The sequence below is a fragment of the Homo sapiens genome, chromosome 6 (assembly GCF_000001405.40).
Source record: "Homo sapiens chromosome 6, GRCh38.p14 Primary Assembly".
NCBI classification, from domain to species: Eukaryota; Metazoa; Chordata; class Mammalia; order Primates; family Hominidae; genus Homo; species Homo sapiens.
Genome location: NC_000006.12, coordinates 24456122 through 24473691, shown reverse-complemented (window position 1 = coordinate 24473691; position 17570 = coordinate 24456122). Strand labels below are relative to the sequence as shown.

Genomic DNA, 17570 nt, shown 5'->3' with positions numbered 1-17570 from the left:
CAGATGGTTCTCTTTCTTTCTTAGATTGATTTTCACGGCTCCTATTCAGAGGCTCATTCGGCTGGTGATTTTGGTACTGTTTATTTACATTTGCTAAATTTTCTCGTGGTATAGTTCACTTATAATGACATCACTACTGTGCTTTAAATATGTGTGTCTTTAATATTTTGCTGGTTGCATGTATTTTCTATTTAATGTTGCAGTTCATTTAGAGTAGAGATGTACCTCATTTAACATAGAGATGTATTTCTAAAAACTTGTGTCTATATGTATTTTTTTGTTAAAAAATTCTACACTTTGTTGTTGACATGTCATAATTTTAGAAAAACTTTACTTATACATTGGGTTAAAATTCATTAGCTAGTGTCTCCTACTTTCCTAATACTTTAGCTTTAAACTAGTAAACTCCACCTTTTGCCTGTAGTAGTAAATTGCTTTTAAATATTTAAACTAGGTGGTGAATGGTGTTTATTAAACCCTTATGGTCGATATTTCCTTAAAGTAAAACAAAAAACACCTTTGGTTATATGGCCAGTTCTTTCTTAATTTATATGTTTCACTAACTAAGATTTTTAAAAGATAATTTTTTCTTAAAAAAAAAAAAAAAAAAAAAGGCGGCCTGGCGTGGTGGCTCACACCTGTAATCCCAGCACTTTGGGAGGCCAAGGCAGGTGGATCACCTGAGGTCAGGAGTTCAAGACCAGCCTGGCCAACATGGTGAAACCCCACCTCTACTAAAAATACAAAAATTAGCTGGGCGTGGTGGCGCATGCCTGTAATCCCAGCTACGAGGGAGGCTGAGGCAGGAGAATTGCTTGAACCCAGGAGGCGGAGGTTTCAGTGAGCCGAGATCACGCCATTGCACTCCAGCCTGGGCAATAAGAGCAAAACTCCGTCTAAAAAAAAAAAAAGGCATGCCTTTACCTAAAACAATGAACAAAAACATGTAATAATGTGAAAAACTAATAATCCAACTTGTCAGACCTCATGTTGAATAGATGCATGCTATGTTTGTCACTAATCCACCAAATGTCAATATTTTTCTCATACCCTAGGAGGAGATGTGTTGAGCCAGTTTGAATTTAATTTTAATTACCTTGCACGACGCTGGTAAGAGCAATGTACATCTAAATATGTGGTATCTAAGTGGCATTTAGAGCCTTGACTTTTTTTCTTAGAAAATATAACTGACAATATAATTAGAAGTCTTCTGCACTGGTAAATTTTGAAAAGTAAAATTGCATATTAGCATAGTTTAGATTCTTTGAGAAATTGAATTCCACTCAATTTTGAATGGAGTGGAGTTGCTGAGTCATAGTTTACTTTTTCAAAATGATCATCTTAACTTATGCTCCCATTAGCTTTGTATAATCATTCTGGTTCTTCTGCATTCTCCAATACTTGGTATTGTCCAACTGTTAAAATTTCCAGCCTGTTTGTGTGTAATGGTATCTCATTGAGGTTGCAGTTTGAATTTCCCAGATTGCTAATGAGGTTACACTTTTCTTCTATTTTATGGATCATTTGTGTTTGATTTTAAGTGAAAACTTTTTCCAGTTTTCAGTCTATTTTTCTGTTGGGTTGTTTATCCTTTTTATTTATTTGTGAGTATTTATATATTCTGGCTTCTACTCTCTTGTCAGTTTGTCACTTAGTTATTACAAATGTCTTTCACAGTTTGTGGTATGTCCTTTCACTTATTGTGTATCTTGACAAACAGGATTTGTTAATATTCATGTAGTTGAATAGATCAGTTTTTCCTTTGTAATGTGTACTTCTGATGTCTTATTTAAGAAATCCGTTCTTAGCTAGGTGTGGTGGCACAGCATCTGTAGTCCCAGCTACTCAGGAGGCTGAGGTGGGAGGATCACTTGAGCACAGGAGTTTGAGGCTTCAGTGAGCTATGATCGCGCCTCTGCACTCCAGCCTGGGCAACACAGTGAGACCCTGTCTCTTAAATAAAAAGAAAGAAAACCTTTCTACCTTGAGGGCAAATGGTTATTCTCTTACATGGACTTCTAAAGCTTTTATAGTTTTATATCTTAGCTTTATGTCTTTGATTTAACTGGAGTTAATTTTTTGTATGTTCTGAGATGTAAATCTAATTTTATTTTTTCCTCTGGAGATAATGGATTGTCCCAGAATGATTTATCAATAGTCTCCCCTTTCCTTGCTGATCTACAATACCTTCTCTGTTTTGGTTTTCTGTTTCTTTCTGTCTTTTTTTTTGAGCCAGTCTAACTCTGTGGCTCGGGCTGGAGTGCAGTGGTGTGTGATCTTGGGTCACTGCAAACTCCAACTTCCAGGCCCAAATGATCCTCCCACCTCAGCCTCCACCTGGCTAATTTTTTAATGTTTTGTAAGAGATGAGGTCTTGCCATGTTGCCCAGGCTGGTCTCGAACTCCTGGGCTCAAGTGATCCGCCCACCTTGGCCTCCCAAGTGTTGGGATTATAGGTGTGAGCCACTGCACCCCCTTTGGGTTATAAATTAAAATGTTATGTATATGTATGGGTCAGTTTCTGGGCTTTCTGATATGTCCTTTTGGTCCCTGAACAATATTGATTATTTTAATTGCTGTAGCTTTATAATAAGTCTTGGGCTCTGTTAGGGCAGATCTTATAACTAGTCCTTCTTTTTCTTCAAAAGTACCTTGCCTATTCTTTGCCTTTGTTCTTTCAAATAAGATTTAGGCTCAAGTTGTCATGTTCCAAGAAAAACTTTGCTGGAATTTTGATTAAGTGTTTATTGAATCTAGAGATGAATTGGAAAATTAACAATTTTGAAATATTGAGGCCAGGCACGGTGGCTCATGCCTGTAATCCCAGCACTTTGGGAGGGTGAGGCAGGTGAATCACCTGAGGTCAGGAGTTCGAGATCAGCCTGGCCAACATGGTTAAACCCTGTCTCTACTAAAACTACAAAAATTAGCCTGGTACGATGGCACGTGCCTGTAATCCCAGCAACTTGGGAGGCTGAGGCAGGAGAATCACTTGAACCTGGGAGGCGGAGGTTTCAGTGAGCTGAGATCATGCCATTGCACTTCAGCCTGAGAGACAAGAGCAAAACTCCGTCTCAAAAAATAAAAAAAGAAAAAAAAATTTACCATTCAAATAAAAAGATTTGTAAGTTATAAGTAAGATAACATCACTATTTATTTCTTTACTTTTTATCAGGTTTATCTACTGATTATTAAGAGAGAAATTAGTTTCAAAGATCTCCCACATGAGGGTAGATTTTTCAATTTCTTGTAGTTCTGTCAGAGTTTGCTTTGCTATATAGATTTTGAAGATATATTGTTAGGTACATTCAATTTCAAAAGGATACCTTGTGAATTGAGCTTTTTATCGTGAGGCAAAATCCCTCTTTATCTCTAATAATAGTTGCTGCATTAAAGTCTCCTTTATCAGATGTGACTGGAGTTATACTGGTCATGTTTGGTGATATTCCATGGTGCTAGAATAAGTAGGCTCAAGTTAAGAACTGCCGAGATCATGCCACTGCGCTCCAGCTTGGGCGACAGGGTGAGACTCCAACTCCATCTCAAAAAAACAAACAAAAAAAAAACCGTCCAGGTTCCAAACCTAACGTGTAGGGTGTGGCACACGTTCTCAGGGCAAAAGCTGGTTGTCCCATTTGCTTACCTCCCAGGGTTTTTTTGTTTCTAGTTGTTTTTGGCCTTTGAAAAATTTCTGCTGTCCTGCTAGCTTGGTGATTCATTTAAAAAAATATTTTTTGTTATTTTGTCTGACTTTTTAAGCTATTTTTATTGGGAATGCCATTCCAGTGCTCTTATAAAATAAAAAATGAGTCTCTCAATTGTTTCTTTCTTTTACCTACTAAAAGAAACCTACTAAAGTTAGATTTTATTGGTTGCGATTTTTTATCTTGTTTATTCTGAGGATTTTTTTTTTATTATACTTTAAGTTTTAGGGTACATGTGCACATTGTGCAGGTTAGTTACATATGTATACATGTGCCATGCTGGTGCGCTGCACCCACTAACTCGTCATCTAGCATTAGGTATATCTCCCAATGCTATCCCTCCCCCCTCCCCCCACCCCACCACAGTCCCCAGAGTGTGATATTCCCCTTCCTGTGTCCATGTGATCTCATTGTTCAATTCCCACCTATGAGTGAGAATATGCGGTGTTTGGTTTTTTGTTCTTGCGATAGTTTACTGAGAATGATGGTTTCCAATTTCATCCATGTCCCTACAAAGGACATGAACTCATCATTTTTTATGGCTGCATAGTATTCCATGGTGTATATGTGCCACATTTTCTTAATCCAGTCTATCATTGTTGGACATTGGGGTTGGTTCCAAGTCTTTGCTATTGTGAATAATGCCGCAATAAACATACGTGTGCATGTGTCTTTATAGCAGCATGATTTATAGTCATTTGGGTATATACCCAGTAATGGGATGGCTGGGTCAAATGGTATTTCTAGTTCTAGATCCCTGAGGAATCGCCACACTGACTTCCACAATGGTTGAACTAGTTTACAGTCCCACCAACAGTGTAAGAGTGTTCCTATTTCTCCACATCCTCTCCAGCACCTGTTGTTTCCTGACTTTTGAGGATTTTTAAATTAAAAGATGATTGAGTATAAATCTGGTTTTTAAATGCTGCTCTTTGCAATGGAAATAACTAATATTTGTGAACCAAAAGCCTGATTTAGAATTCTTTTCATTGCTTTATACTGTAAACCAAGAAGTATCTGAGACAAGTCTCAATCAATTTAGGAAGTTTGTTTTGCCAAGATTAAGGACACACCCATGATACAGCCTCAGGAGGTCCGGATGACAACATGTGCCCAAGGCTGTTGGAGCACATCTTGGTTATCTGTACATTTTAGGGAGACTTGGGACATCAATCAATAAATGCGAAATGGCTGTTGGCCAGTTAGCTCAGTTGTGGTGCTAATGACACCAGGGTCGCAGGTTCAGTCCCCTTACAGGTCAGTTGTTTTGGCCAGGCATGGTGGCGCATGCCTGTAGTCTCAGCTGCTTGGGAGGCTGAGGCAGGAGAATTGCTTGAACTTGGAAGGCGGAGGTTGCGGTGAACCGATATCGCACCACTGCACTCCAGCCTGGGTGACAGAGTGAGACTCCATCTCAAAAAAAAAATAAAAATAAAAAAATAAGTAAAATGTCCATTGGTTCAGTCCAGAAAGATGGGACAACTCGAAGCGAGGAGGAGGCTTCCAGGTCATAGGTAGCTATGAGACATCCTTCCGAATTTCCAATTAGCCTTTCACTGAAAATGCAGTTTACAGTAATAGTGTCACTTATGCTGTAGTCTGGTTTAGTGAAACAATTAGGCAAAGGAAGCAATCAGATATACATTTGTCTCAGGTGAGCAGAGGGATGATATTTGAGTTCTATCTGTCCTTTGCCCACATGAATTTCCTTGTGGGCAAATTGTGAGGGAGGTATGTAGCTTTTAATCTTTGTAGCAATCTCACTTAGAAATAGATTGGGAGGGCCAGGTGTGGTGGCTCACGCCTGTAATCCCAGCACTTTGGGAGGCCGAGGCAGGTGGATCACCTGAGGTTGGGAGTTCGAGACCAGCCTGACCAACATGGAGAAACCCCATGTCTACCAAAAATATAAAATTAGCCGGGCGTGGTGGCACACGCCTGTAATCCCAGCTGCTTGGGAGGCTGAGGCAGGAGAATTGCTTGAACCCGGGAGGCGGAGGTTGCGGTGAACGGAGATTGCACCATTGCACTCCAGCCTGGGCAACAAGAGCGAAGCTCCATCTCCAAAAAAAAAACAAAAAACAGAAAACAAAAACAACCACACAGAAACCACACAGAAATAGATTGGGAGGCAGGTTTGCCCTACACGGTTCCCAGCTTGACTTTTCCCTTTAGTTTAGTGATTTTGGGGTTCTGAGATTTATTTTCCTTTACAATATTTTTATACTTTGGTATACTTTTTTGTATACTTTATATACTCTGAAATTAAGATGTCAGGGTGAGGAGACATTTTTATAATAGTGTTTTTAAAATAATTCTTTTCAATTCAACTTGAAACCATGAAAATACTTTAAATTACTTCTTGAACTCTGAATTCACAAAATTAACCACTCTTTTTGTACGTTATAGTTAGTTTCCAATCTGAGTATACCTACATAAATATTTGATTTAAGTTACCAGTTGTTTGCTCTGCATCATTGGGCCAATTATTTAACTTTTCTGTGCCTTAATCATTTCTTCTTATGTAAAACGGGAATATGATAGTACTAACCACCTGAGGTCATTGCTAGGATTAAATAACTGGTGCATGTAAAGACTTTTACATGGTGCCTGGCACAAAATAATCACGGAATAACTGGTAGCTGCTGCTGCTGTTGTTACTATTTTCAGCTTCAGAATCAAAACAACTCTTACTTTATTCTGCATTTTTCAGGTATGTGCCAGTCAAAGATCTACTGGGAATTTATGAGAAACTGTATGGTCGAAAAGTCATCACCGAAAATGTAATCGTTGATTGTTCACATATCCAGTTCTTAGAAATGTAAGCGTAACTCAGAGGACAATTTGCAGCTGATTTTGTTGTGACTTCCTTTGCACAGTTTTTATGTTTTTGTTTCCTGAGACTGGATTTTGGATTTATGGATTCTGCTTATTCAAAGGCAGTTGCATGACGGTGGAAAAGGGTGGATGGAACTTTTTCTTCATTATTTGCTTCATTTCTCTGTTACAAACTGCAACTCACAGCCAAAATTATTGTTTATTTTGCAGGTATGGTGAGATGCTAGCTGTTTCCAAGGTAAAGGCGTCATTCTTCCAAATCTTAAAGGATTATAAAGATACCAGGAATAGTACCATATTCATTTTATTTTTTCTTTCTCTCTGCCATAGTTATATCCCACTTACTCTACAAAGTCCCCGTTTTTGGTGGAACAATTCCAAGAGTATTTTCTTGGAGGACTGGATGATATGGCATTTTGGTCCACTAATATTTACCATCTAACAAGCTTCATGTTGGAGAATGGGACCAGGTGAATTCATATTGCATTTCTATTACCAATCACTCTCTGCCTTTTTACCCCATCCCCCAACATAACTCTCAGGTTTTTCAACTGATCACATAAAAACAAAACAAAACAATCTCATGAAGTGCTTTTCTAACCTATTCAAAGAGGGAAAGAATGGAAACTCAGTGATCTTATAAACTTGACTGGTTCCCATCCAGTTGGCTTGGTTGATGCTGCTCGTGTTTTAGAAATAGAGAGACAGTTATTGCAATATTTGGGGTCTGTGAGAAATGGCTCAGCCAGGCAGGAATCAGCCTCCACAGGTGGTGCTCCATTTGTTTCTTTCTTTTTATTTTGAGACAGAGTCTTGCTCTGTTGCTCAGGCTGGAGTACAGTGGCACGATCTCGGCTTCACTGCAACCTCTGCCTCCTGGGTTCAAGGGAGTCTCGTGCCTCAGCCTCCCAATCAGCTGGGACTACAGGTGTGCACCACCATCCCTGGCTAATTTTTTTGTATTTTTAGTAGAGATGAGGTTTCGCCATATTGGCCAGGCTGGCCTGAAACTCCTGGCCTCAAGTGATCCACCTGCCTTGGTCTCCCAAAGTGCTGGGATTACAGGCATGAGCCACTGCACCCAGCCTCCATCTGTTTCTTTTGGGAAAACCCATGCTGGGGGCTGGAGTGCCAGGTCTCCACAGGTCCCAGAGTGGCTGTGTTCTTGCTGTGGTGACACACCTCTCCACCCTGACTACACTCTCAGGGTTTCAGGGTGTCAAAGGATACCTCACCTAATACTAAAAAAACAGAAGCAAATAGAGCTATAGCTACATGCCCCGACACACACTCCAACGTAAAATGAGAAATAAATGCATTTGTAAAACATTCTGTTGAAATTTGACATCTAGCCCAGATGGGACAGCTGCTGAACCTCCAGTTCCTTTTCTTCTCCTAAGCATGCTCAGGACAAGAATTAATCAGAAACTCAGCCGAAATATAGATAAGGTAGACTGTGATTGTCCCCACTTCTAGCTGTAGTAGATCATTAGACTCTCACAGAGTCTTACACTACCCCTAGATCAGAGGGAGCCAAGGCCCTTCTGATAACCCATTTCTTTCTTTTTCTTTTTTTTTTAAGAGCACATGTGTTTTTGTTTTTTGTTTTTGAGATGGGGTCTTGTTCTGTCACCCAGGCTGGAGGGCAGTGGCATTATCTCAGCTCGCTACAACCTCCACCTCCTGGGCTCAAGTGATTCTTGTGCCTCAGTCTCGAGTACCTGGGACCACAGGCTCACACCACTGCACCAGGCTAATTGTTTGTATTTTTGGTAGAGATGGGGTTTTACCATGTTGCCCAGGCTGGTCTCCACCTCCTGAGATCCAAGTGATCCACCCGCCTCAGACTCCCAAAGTGCTGGGATTACAGGCATGAGCCACCATGCGTGGCCGGAAAACCCATTTCTTTTTTTTTCTTTTCTTTTCTTTTCTTTTCTTTTTTTTTTTTTTTTTGAGACAGAGTCTTGCTCTGTTGCCCAGGCTAGAGTGCAGTGGTGCGATCTCGGCTCACTGCAACCTCCACCTCCTGGGTTCAAGCAATTCTCCTGCCTCAGCTTCCCGAGTAGTTATGACTACAGGTACTCACCACTACACCTGGCTAATTTTTGTATTTTTTGTAGAGACAGAGTTTTGCCATGTTGGTTGGCCAGGCTGGTCTCGATCTCCTGACCTCAAGTGATCCACCCACCTCTGTCTCCCAAAGTGCTGAGATTACAGGCGTGAGCCACCATGCCTGGCCCAGAGAACCCATTTCTGATCATGCTGTTGGACATGCAGCCTCTCCCCACTACTGACCTGAACCGGGTTGAGATGTGGGTGTGGCTAGGAAGCACAGGGCAGCCCCCGAATCGGGGAAAGGGCAGAGCGGGAAGCTTAGGCTGTACCACCAGCAGTGGGAAAGAGGGTTCTCTGGGCGGGACCTGTGCCTGGGAGACTGTTCCAGGTCAGGATCATAGCAGAGTTAGCTGTTCATAAGTTGGAATGGCCTACAGAATGTAGATCCAGAATATTATACTGGGTGATATTCCTTTACCCTTATAAACATTTGCTAGTACCCAAACAGTGTTAACCATAATTATATATTGTGTTGATTTGAAACAAAATTCCCTTTGATGACAAATTCGACCTTAGCTTGGTACATAATAAACTTGTTTTTAACAATCGGTGAGTAACAATTTGGCAGGGATAGCAATCTCATATGAATGCCACTTTTAATAGTGAAATAAACCTCAACTAAAATCCCCAAGCTCTCCCGTGGACCTGGGTTTTTAGGTGCATACTGCCGTGGTTGTACAGAATTTAAGGGATCTGCCACTCACTACTGAGTTATCTGGAACAAGTTGCTAAACCTTCCAAAATCTTATTTCCTCACCTATAAAATTGGGACAGCAATACTATTTTTACCATAGGATTTTTGTGAGGAGTAAATTAGATCAGTCATGTAAAGGGTTTAGAATAGAGTAAGCACTTACTAAGTATTGGTTACTATTATTATTAGAAGGAAGCAAAGTTTGTATTGGAAGGACTCATAACATAAGGGCATGTTTGAGTGATTGACCTGCACTTACTTGTTTTATATAATCCAAACTGGAAAACATTTTTTGGTGTTCAATTTTGGTTTGGTTCTCCAAATAGCTAAGGAAAGATAGCTGGACCTTATTCTTTCGTTAGGAAAAGATAATTGAGAAAGAACATATTTCTTGTCTCTTGATCCCTGTCCCAATTTACCAAGGTGTAAAATTCCATGAGTTGATTGCTTGTTTGCATACATATACAAAGAAAGATTCATCAGAATTTATGAAAATGTATGGGAAATTCAGAGAAGTCTCCAAAAAGAGACAACACAAAAAAATTCATAACAGAAAGGAAAACATAAATATGTTCATAGTAACAGGCATTTCCCAGCTTACTAACACAGGTTATCTTCCAAAGCTCACTTATGTTATTTGGTATATTTTCCTTAAAAAAGCAATGAAGTAGTGGTAGTTACATTGCCAAGAACTCTACTCACCTCAAACTCTATTTGAAAGTATAGTGCTAATGCTGTAAGGCTGCCTTTTGTGTCCTGTGGTGGACAAGAAAAGGTCCAAAGAGAGAACCTTTTCCTCAGCTCAAACCTGGCCAGAGAAATGTTTTGGTAGGAAGAGTCTGCCTTCAGCTTTTTCCCACCTCCTTTTTGGAATTCCTTTTTCAGCAACTAATTTTCTTCACCCCTACACTCCACATTACTTTTGTATTACCCCAGCCTCCCTCAGTGACCTCCATACAAATCTTAAGATAGTCTTCATTCCAGAATACTCTTCTTATATTAATACCTGCTTCCTCAGTGCTTCTGTTCAGTGTTGGGGGAAAGCCTCTATTGGGAAGAGTTTATCTCTTATGTTCTCAGAGGCTTTTTCACTTGTAAAAGGGGATCCTTCATTAGCTATTTAATTATTGAAATTATGGAATTTTTTTTAAAGAAATGAAATTGAGAAATTCAGACACATTTAGGCATAAATGTGTATAATTGGGCAGAAGGTGACATAATTGGTAACCAGTGTTGATAACACTCTCAAATTCTGAGACGTTTCGTGTTAGCGTGGAACAGCTCAGCAGGTGGAGCGGGGAGGGAAGAGGAAGGCTGAGTCTGGGGTGACTGGCAGCATGAGCCTTCCTGGATTACCATGATAGTGACAACCGTCAGCCTACCCACCCTCTCTGGGAGAACATGGGCTCTTAATTAGTCCTGTATGGCTAGGTAATAAACACTTTAAGCCTTTGGGAGATGATTGAAGCGCACTACCGATTCTCGGTAAAATTCATGCTTGTGAAGAAGTAGATAAATGGCTAACTCATTTGACTGTTTCCTCAGTGACTGCAACCTGCCTGAGAACCCTCTGTTCATTGCATGTGGCGGCCAGCAAAACCACACCCAGGGGTAAGTGGATTCCAAAATTGTTCATAGAAAAAGTACATCTCACCTGGAGGAGATGCCCTATAGAGGTTGAGAACACGGGATCTGTTGAGAGACAGCTGTAGGTTCAAATTCCAGATTTGTCACTTGCAGCTGTGTGATTTTTAAACAAGCTGCTTGATTTTTGGAGCTATAGCTTCCTCCTTTTGCAAAATGGAAAAAGCACATCAACACTCCCAGAATTATGGTGTGGATGACATGCAGTGGTGGATGTAAAGCAATTAGCACATGTTGAGTTGCTCATTAAACGGTAGTTAGTGGCTGGGCACAGTGGCTCATACGTGTAATCCTAGCACTCTGGGAGGCTGAGGCAGGAGGATCCCTTAAGTCCAGGAGTTCAGGACCAGCCTCAGCAACATAGTGAGACCCCTATATCTACAAAAAATGAACAAAATTAGCCAGGTATGGTGGTGTGTGCCTGTAGTCCCAGCTACTTGGGAGGCTGAGGCGGGAGGATTGCTTGAGCCTAGGAGTTCGAGGCTGCAGTGAGCTGAGATCAGGCCAGTACACTCCAGTCTAGGCAACAGAGTGAGATCCTGTCTCAAAAAAAGAAAGAAGAAATGTAGTTAGTATTATTGTAACTATCAATATTATTGTCTTACTCATAAACTTCACCCAGATTTTACATGAAAATTTATTTATTGATGAGACAGTGTTGGGAGAAGCCCTCAATGTTAAGGGCCAGAAGCCTGGTTTGTATTTTAAGAAATGATATTTTCTGCTGGAGTCAGGTACCAACCGACAGTCATTTATGCATTCATTTAATAAGTTATTAATATTACAAATATGTGTATATTTATTAATAAAATAGAACAAAATAACACAAATAATAAAATATCATTTATTAATCAGTACGTGCCAGGAACTGGTTCAGGCACTAGAGATATCATTGTGAACAAGACAGAAACAGTTCCTGCTCTCAGGTATATGGCCTGGCAGGTAGCTGGGCACTAAACAAGTAATTGTGGACATTGTTAAGTGTTAGGAAGAAAAAATGCAAGGTGCTCTGGGGATTTGCAAGCGTCCTGGCCTGGGCACAGGAGGGTTCTCCTTGAAGAAGTGATGGCTTAACAGATATTTAAGTGTCAGGAATTAAAAATGCAGGGTGTTCTGGGGATTTGCAACAGAGCGTCCTGGCCCTGGGCACAAAAGAGCTCTCCTTGAAGAAGTGATGGCTTAACCGGGATATTTAAGGATGATCAAGAGTGAGATATACTCAAAAGTAGAGTATTGCAATGATAAAGGTACTGAGAGGAATGATCTTAGCACTTTGGAAGAATGAAAATTACACAGAAAGTGTTCAGTGAAGTCGTCATTGTTGTATTTGAATTGGGTAACTTTTTTTTTTCTTTTTCTTTTTTTCCTAGCAAACCATTCCTTCAACATACTTTGTTGTTGTTTAATCACATTGAGCACCTTTTGATTAGGCTTGCAATCTTTCTTGGGGTTGCCAGAACCCTGACACTAGTTGGTGTCATGCCCAGGGCCCCGTCACTTACGGCTGTTGTCCACTCCCTACTTCAGTCATTTCTGAAGCCTCTCTGGCTCCCTGAGTCATCTGCTTTTTGGCTGGTTGACATCTTTGAATGTGAAAATGTATTTTTATTGTATAATTAATTTTAGCATGTCTTTGAAGATAAATCAGTATGCTGGCTGGGCGTGATGGCTCACACCTGTAATTCCAGCACTTTGGGAGACCGAGGCAGGTGGATCACCTGAGCTCAGGAGTTCGAGCCCAGCCTGGCCAACATAGTGAAACTCCATCTCTACTAAAAATACAAAAAAATCAGCTGGGTGTGGTGGTGCATGCCTGTAGTTCCAGGCTACTCAGGAGGCTGAGACAGGAGAATTGCTTGAACCCAGGAGGCGAAGGTTGCAATGAGCCGAGATCGTGCCACTGCACTGCAGCCTAGGTGACAGAGCAAGACTCCGTCTCAAAAAAAAAAAAAAAAAATCAGTATGCTTGCAAAGCAGTTTCCCCACCAGCTGATACCTGTTGCTAAATTTTTTCATAATCTGGAAAGAATTGAAGCCTTTTACTCCTACCATAGAGCTCTGATATTATAGGAAATATGTTTTATAAGGATAGGCTTTTAAGCCTTAGAAATGTGTTTACTAAAAGATTTTGTGAAATGAAGGTTTTCTAAAACTTTCTGTGTTGCTCCTTCAGCCTTCTGACGTTAAAATTTTGTGGTCTTTTAACCTGTGATTAACTTGACTATATTCTTCAACTCAGTTTTACAGGGGGTTGTTTTCTCAGTCGTAACCAGTTTATTCCTCTTTCTCTTCAACAGCTCAAAAATGCAGAAAAATGATTTTCACAGAAATTTGACTACATCCCTAACTGAAAGTGTTGACAGGAATATAAACTATACTGAAAGAGGAGTGTTCTTTAGTGTAAATTCCTGGACCCCGGTAAGAATTTTCTGCTCTAAGTTGAGAAAGAGGAATGCTGCTTCTTGAGATACCTTGTTTCGCTGAGTCCCTGGGTATTTATTTGTCCATTGAAATTTACCTGTGGTGGGATGTGGTGGCTGGGAGGCTGAGTTGAGAGGATCCCTTGAGTCCAGGAGTTTGAGACCTGTCTGGGCAACATAGCAAGACCTTGTCTCTATAAAAAATAAATAAATTAGCTGGGTGTGATGGCTGTGCCTGTTGTCACAGCTACTTGGGAGGCTAAGGCAGGAGGATTGCTTGAGCCCAGGAGTTCAAGGCTACAGTGAGCTATGATCATGCCAGTGCACTCCAGCCTGGGTCTAAGCATGTGCCAGGCCGGCAAATACTCTTGGCATCCATATGTGGTTTGTTCTGGAGATGCCCTGAGTCTGCACCTCAGTGGTCTCTGTCAAGTCAAGATGACCCTGGGCACCCAGGCCAATCCTTCTTTGGACTTAGTCCCAAAGGCGTTCACAATGTTGAAGGCTCACTGTGCATAGCCCCATTGTGTATGAAATTAATCAATGAAGTTAGCTGTTAAGTGAAGACACTCTACTGGGGGATATAAAATGAAAGACAAATGAACTCTGACCCTTAAAAAATTTCAGTCTGAAAGGAGTGACAAATACAAAAATAACCATTATGTGAGTAGACTGCAACACATACCATGGTGCGGTAAGTGCATCATTAGATAGTAGGGAGAATGGGCGTGGTGGCTCACGCCTGTAATCCCAGCACTTTAAGTGGCTGAGGCAGGTGGATTGCTTGAGCTCAGGAGTTTGAGACTAGCCTGGGTAACATAATGAGACCCTGTCTCTACAAAAAAGTAACAAAAAATCAGCTGGGCATGGTAGTGTGCACTTGTAGTCCCAGCTATTCGGGAGGCTGAGGTGGGAGGACTACTTGTTCCTGGAAGGCAGAGGTTGCAGTGAGCTGAGGTTGCACCACTGCACTCCAGCCTGGGTGCTAGAGTGACACCCTGTCTCAAAAAACAAAACAAAAAAAAAATAGCAGGGAGAAAAGCTTCACCTTGGAGGCTATCAGACAGAGAAGGCTTCCTGGAGGAGGGGACATTCAAGTTAGGTCTTGGACAGTAGATAGTATTTCATCAGTGAGAGTACATTTCTGTTAGTGGGTTGGGAAAGTTTCAGGTGTTGGGAAATCTGAGTAGTCGTATTTGCCTGGAGCACAGGACAAGGAATATGAGTTACTATGAGAGGCTTAGGAAGCTAAGTAGGCATTGGATTGTAGTGGGCTCTTAATGTCAGAAGGGTTTAGACAACTTTGTGAATGGGGTCTCTGAGAATTGCGGAAGGGCCTAGTTTAGGTTTAATATACTGCTGTCACTGCCTTAAAATTCTTAACAATTTTTTTTTTTTTGAGACAGAGTCTTGCTCTGTCACCTGAGCTAGAGTGCAGTGGTACCACCTCAGCTCACTGTAACCTCTGCCTCCCGGGTTCAAGCAATTCCCTGCCTCAGCCTCCTGAGTAGCTGGGATTACAGGCACCCGCCACCATGCCCAGCTACTTTTTGTATTTTTAGTAGAGATGGGGTTTCACCATGTTGGCCAGGCTGGTCTTGAACTCCTGACCTTAGGTAATCCGCCCACCTGGGCCTCCCAAAGTGCTGGGATTACAGGCGTGAGCCACCACACCCGGCTTTAACAATTTTTTTAACAAAAGGCTGCATGTTTTAATTTTGCCCTGGCCTCCTTAAATTATGTAGCTGGTCCGGACCGGGGAGGGGAACCTCTATCAAAGCACATGTCATTTTGTCTTGCCATATTTGGATTTTCTCCTTTGCAAAAAAATGAATTGTCTAAGGAGGGACTTTATGTTCCCAGTGTCTGCTGTGGTACCTGGCATATAGTAGGAGCTGATTAATTGCTTCCTGGATGAATGAGCAAGTCAGAGCTAGGCTTTAGGATGAAGCAATCTATGCATGGCCTGCCAGTGAGATTAGAATGGGCAAAGCAGAAGGCATACTCGTGCCTGAAAGATCCTCAGACCCTGTGCTTTTGCAGCGCCTGAGCCATCTGGGCTGCCTTCATGCTCTGAGCCAACTGTGCTCTGCTTTGGAGCAGACCTAGGAAATCTTGTTTGGTCTCATGTCACCCTTGGGCAGATTTAGAGTTGTGTCCCCTTAACTTGGATGGATCTAGTATCTGGCCAGCTTGTTCAGGGCCACTCTCGTTTGTGTTTTTTGTCTCTGCAGTAACCACATTAAGAACGATTCAGCATCCCAAGCTGAGGGGCTTGTTGTCCCCCAAATTCTGTGGTGTACGGCTCCTAGCATTCTGCATGTGACCTCTCGTGCCTGCCTGGCAGCAAATACAACCACATCTCAGCTTGGGTGTGGTTTGGAGGATATCGTTTTTTTTTTTTGAGATGGAGTCTTGCTCTGTCACCCAGGCTAGCGTGCAGCGGCACGATCTCAGCTCACTGCAACCTCCATCTCCCAGGTTCAAGCGATTTTCCTGCCTCAGCCTCCCAAGTAGCTGGGACTACAGGTGCCCGCCACCACTCCCAGCTAATTTTTAGTAGAGACGGGGTTTTACTATATTGGCCAGGCTGGTCTCGAACTCCTGACCTTGTGATCCTCCCACCTTGACCTCCCAAAGTGCTAGGATTATAGGCGTGAGCCACCACGCCTGGCCGGTCTGGAGGATATCTTTGGCATCCTGTTGTTCCAGTTTATTTGTTTGTTAATATATATACACATATACAAATACAATTAAAGTTCTGCATTGAAAGGACTTGTTCTTTTTCTTGTTGTTGAGACAGAGTCTCATTCTGTTGCTCAGGCTGGAGTGCAATGGTGAGATCTCAGCTCATTGCAGCCTCAACCTCTTGGATGCAGGTGATCCTCCCATTTCAGCCTCCCAAGTAGCAGGGATTACAGGCACGCTCCACCACACTCGGCTAATTTTTTGTATTTTTTGTTGAGATGGGGTTTCTCCATGTTGCCCAGGCTGGTCTCAAACTCCTGGGTTCAAGTGATCCTCCTGTCTCAGCCTCCTAAAGTGCTAGGATTACAGGTGTGAGCCACTGCACATGGACAGACTTGTCTTTTAAAAAATTTTAGTCCCCTGGGCATGGTGGCTTACGCCTGTAATCCCAGCACTTTGGGGGAGCCGAGGCAGGTAGATTGCTTAAGGTCAGGAATTCGAGACCAGCCTGGCCAACATGGTGAGACCCCATCTCTACTAAAATACAAAAATTAGCTGGGTGTGGTGGCGAGCACCTGTAATCCCAGCTACTAGGGAGGCTAAGGCAGGAGAATTGCTTGAACCCAGGGGGCGGAGGTTGCAGTGAGTTGAGATCGTGCCACTGCACTCCAGCCTGGTGACAGAGCGATAACTCTTTCTACCCATGCTGGTCCCAACCTCTTGGGCTGTAACTCTGCCATCCCTCAGCATAATTTGGGGGTATGATTTCACTATCCTAATTGCCTGTCCTAAGTGATCTTACTTGCTGATAGGACCTAATGTTTTATTTTATTGTTTAGCACTTCTAAAAACTCATTTCCTTTACACAAGTCCAATACTTTGGACAGGAAACAGTAGCTTTGTTGATTATGCTACGTGTCTTTACTGTCTATAATGATTCTTTTATTTCAGGATTCCATGTCCTTTATCTACAAGGCTTTGGAAAGGAACATAAGGACAATGTTCATAGGTGGCTCTCAGTTGTCACAAAAGCACGTCTCCAGCCCCTTAGCATCTTACTTCTTGTCATTTCCTTATGCGAGGCTTGGCTGGTACGTATAAGTTTATCTAACTTGTGAATGTTTTCTTCAGTATTAATTTTATTCAATCATTCTGCAACTGTTTTTTATTTCATTTTATTTTATTTTATTTTTGAGACAGAGTCTCACTTGTCACCCAGGCTGGAGTACAGTGGCTTGATCTTGGCTCACTGCAACCTCTGCCTCCCAGGTTCAAGTGATTCTCTGCCTCAGCTTCCCAGTAGCTGGGGTTACAGGTGCGCGCCACCATGCCTGGCTAATTTTTATATTTTTAGTAGAGACAAGGTTTCACCATGTTGACCAGGCTGATCTCGAACTTCTGGGCTCAAGTGATCTTCCCGCCTTGGCCTCCCAAAGTCCTGGGATTGCAGGTGTGAGCCACTGTGCC

The 17570-nt window shown here is 41.9% G+C and overlaps 1 protein-coding gene across 5 annotated transcripts in view, besides 1 other annotated feature; it reads left to right on the top strand.

Moving 5' to 3' along the window:
• GPLD1 (glycosylphosphatidylinositol specific phospholipase D1) overlaps window positions 1-17570 on the top strand; it is a 71319-nt gene that overhangs the window by 21596 nt on the left and 32153 nt on the right. For 4 of the 5 annotated variants that reach the window (XR_007059240.1, XM_017010753.3, NM_001503.4 and 1 more), the window contains 8 exons: window positions 25-73; window positions 1056-1110; window positions 6418-6525; window positions 6753-6780; window positions 6873-7012; window positions 10897-10962; window positions 13293-13413; window positions 17055-17194. Coding sequence is in view for 4 of the 5 variants with exons in the window: in XM_017010753.3 (XP_016866242.1) it covers window positions 25-73; window positions 1056-1110; window positions 6418-6525; window positions 6753-6780; window positions 6873-7012; window positions 10897-10962; window positions 13293-13413; window positions 17055-17194 (707 nt within the window). In the remaining variant the exon portion in view is untranslated. The remainder of the gene's footprint in view (window positions 1-24; window positions 74-1055; window positions 1111-6417; window positions 6526-6752; window positions 6781-6872; window positions 7013-10896; window positions 10963-13292; window positions 13414-17054; window positions 17195-17570) is intronic. The other variant, XM_047418657.1, reaches the window with a different exon arrangement.
• Window positions 10620-10820: a silencer, noted in NCBI's record as "peak5733 fragment used in MPRA reporter construct". NCBI's record gives its function as "represses an SCP1 promoter by STARR-seq MPRAs in K562 erythroleukemia cells {active_cell/tissue: K562}" and the evidence as "EXISTENCE:reporter gene assay evidence [ECO:0000049][PMID:32103011]".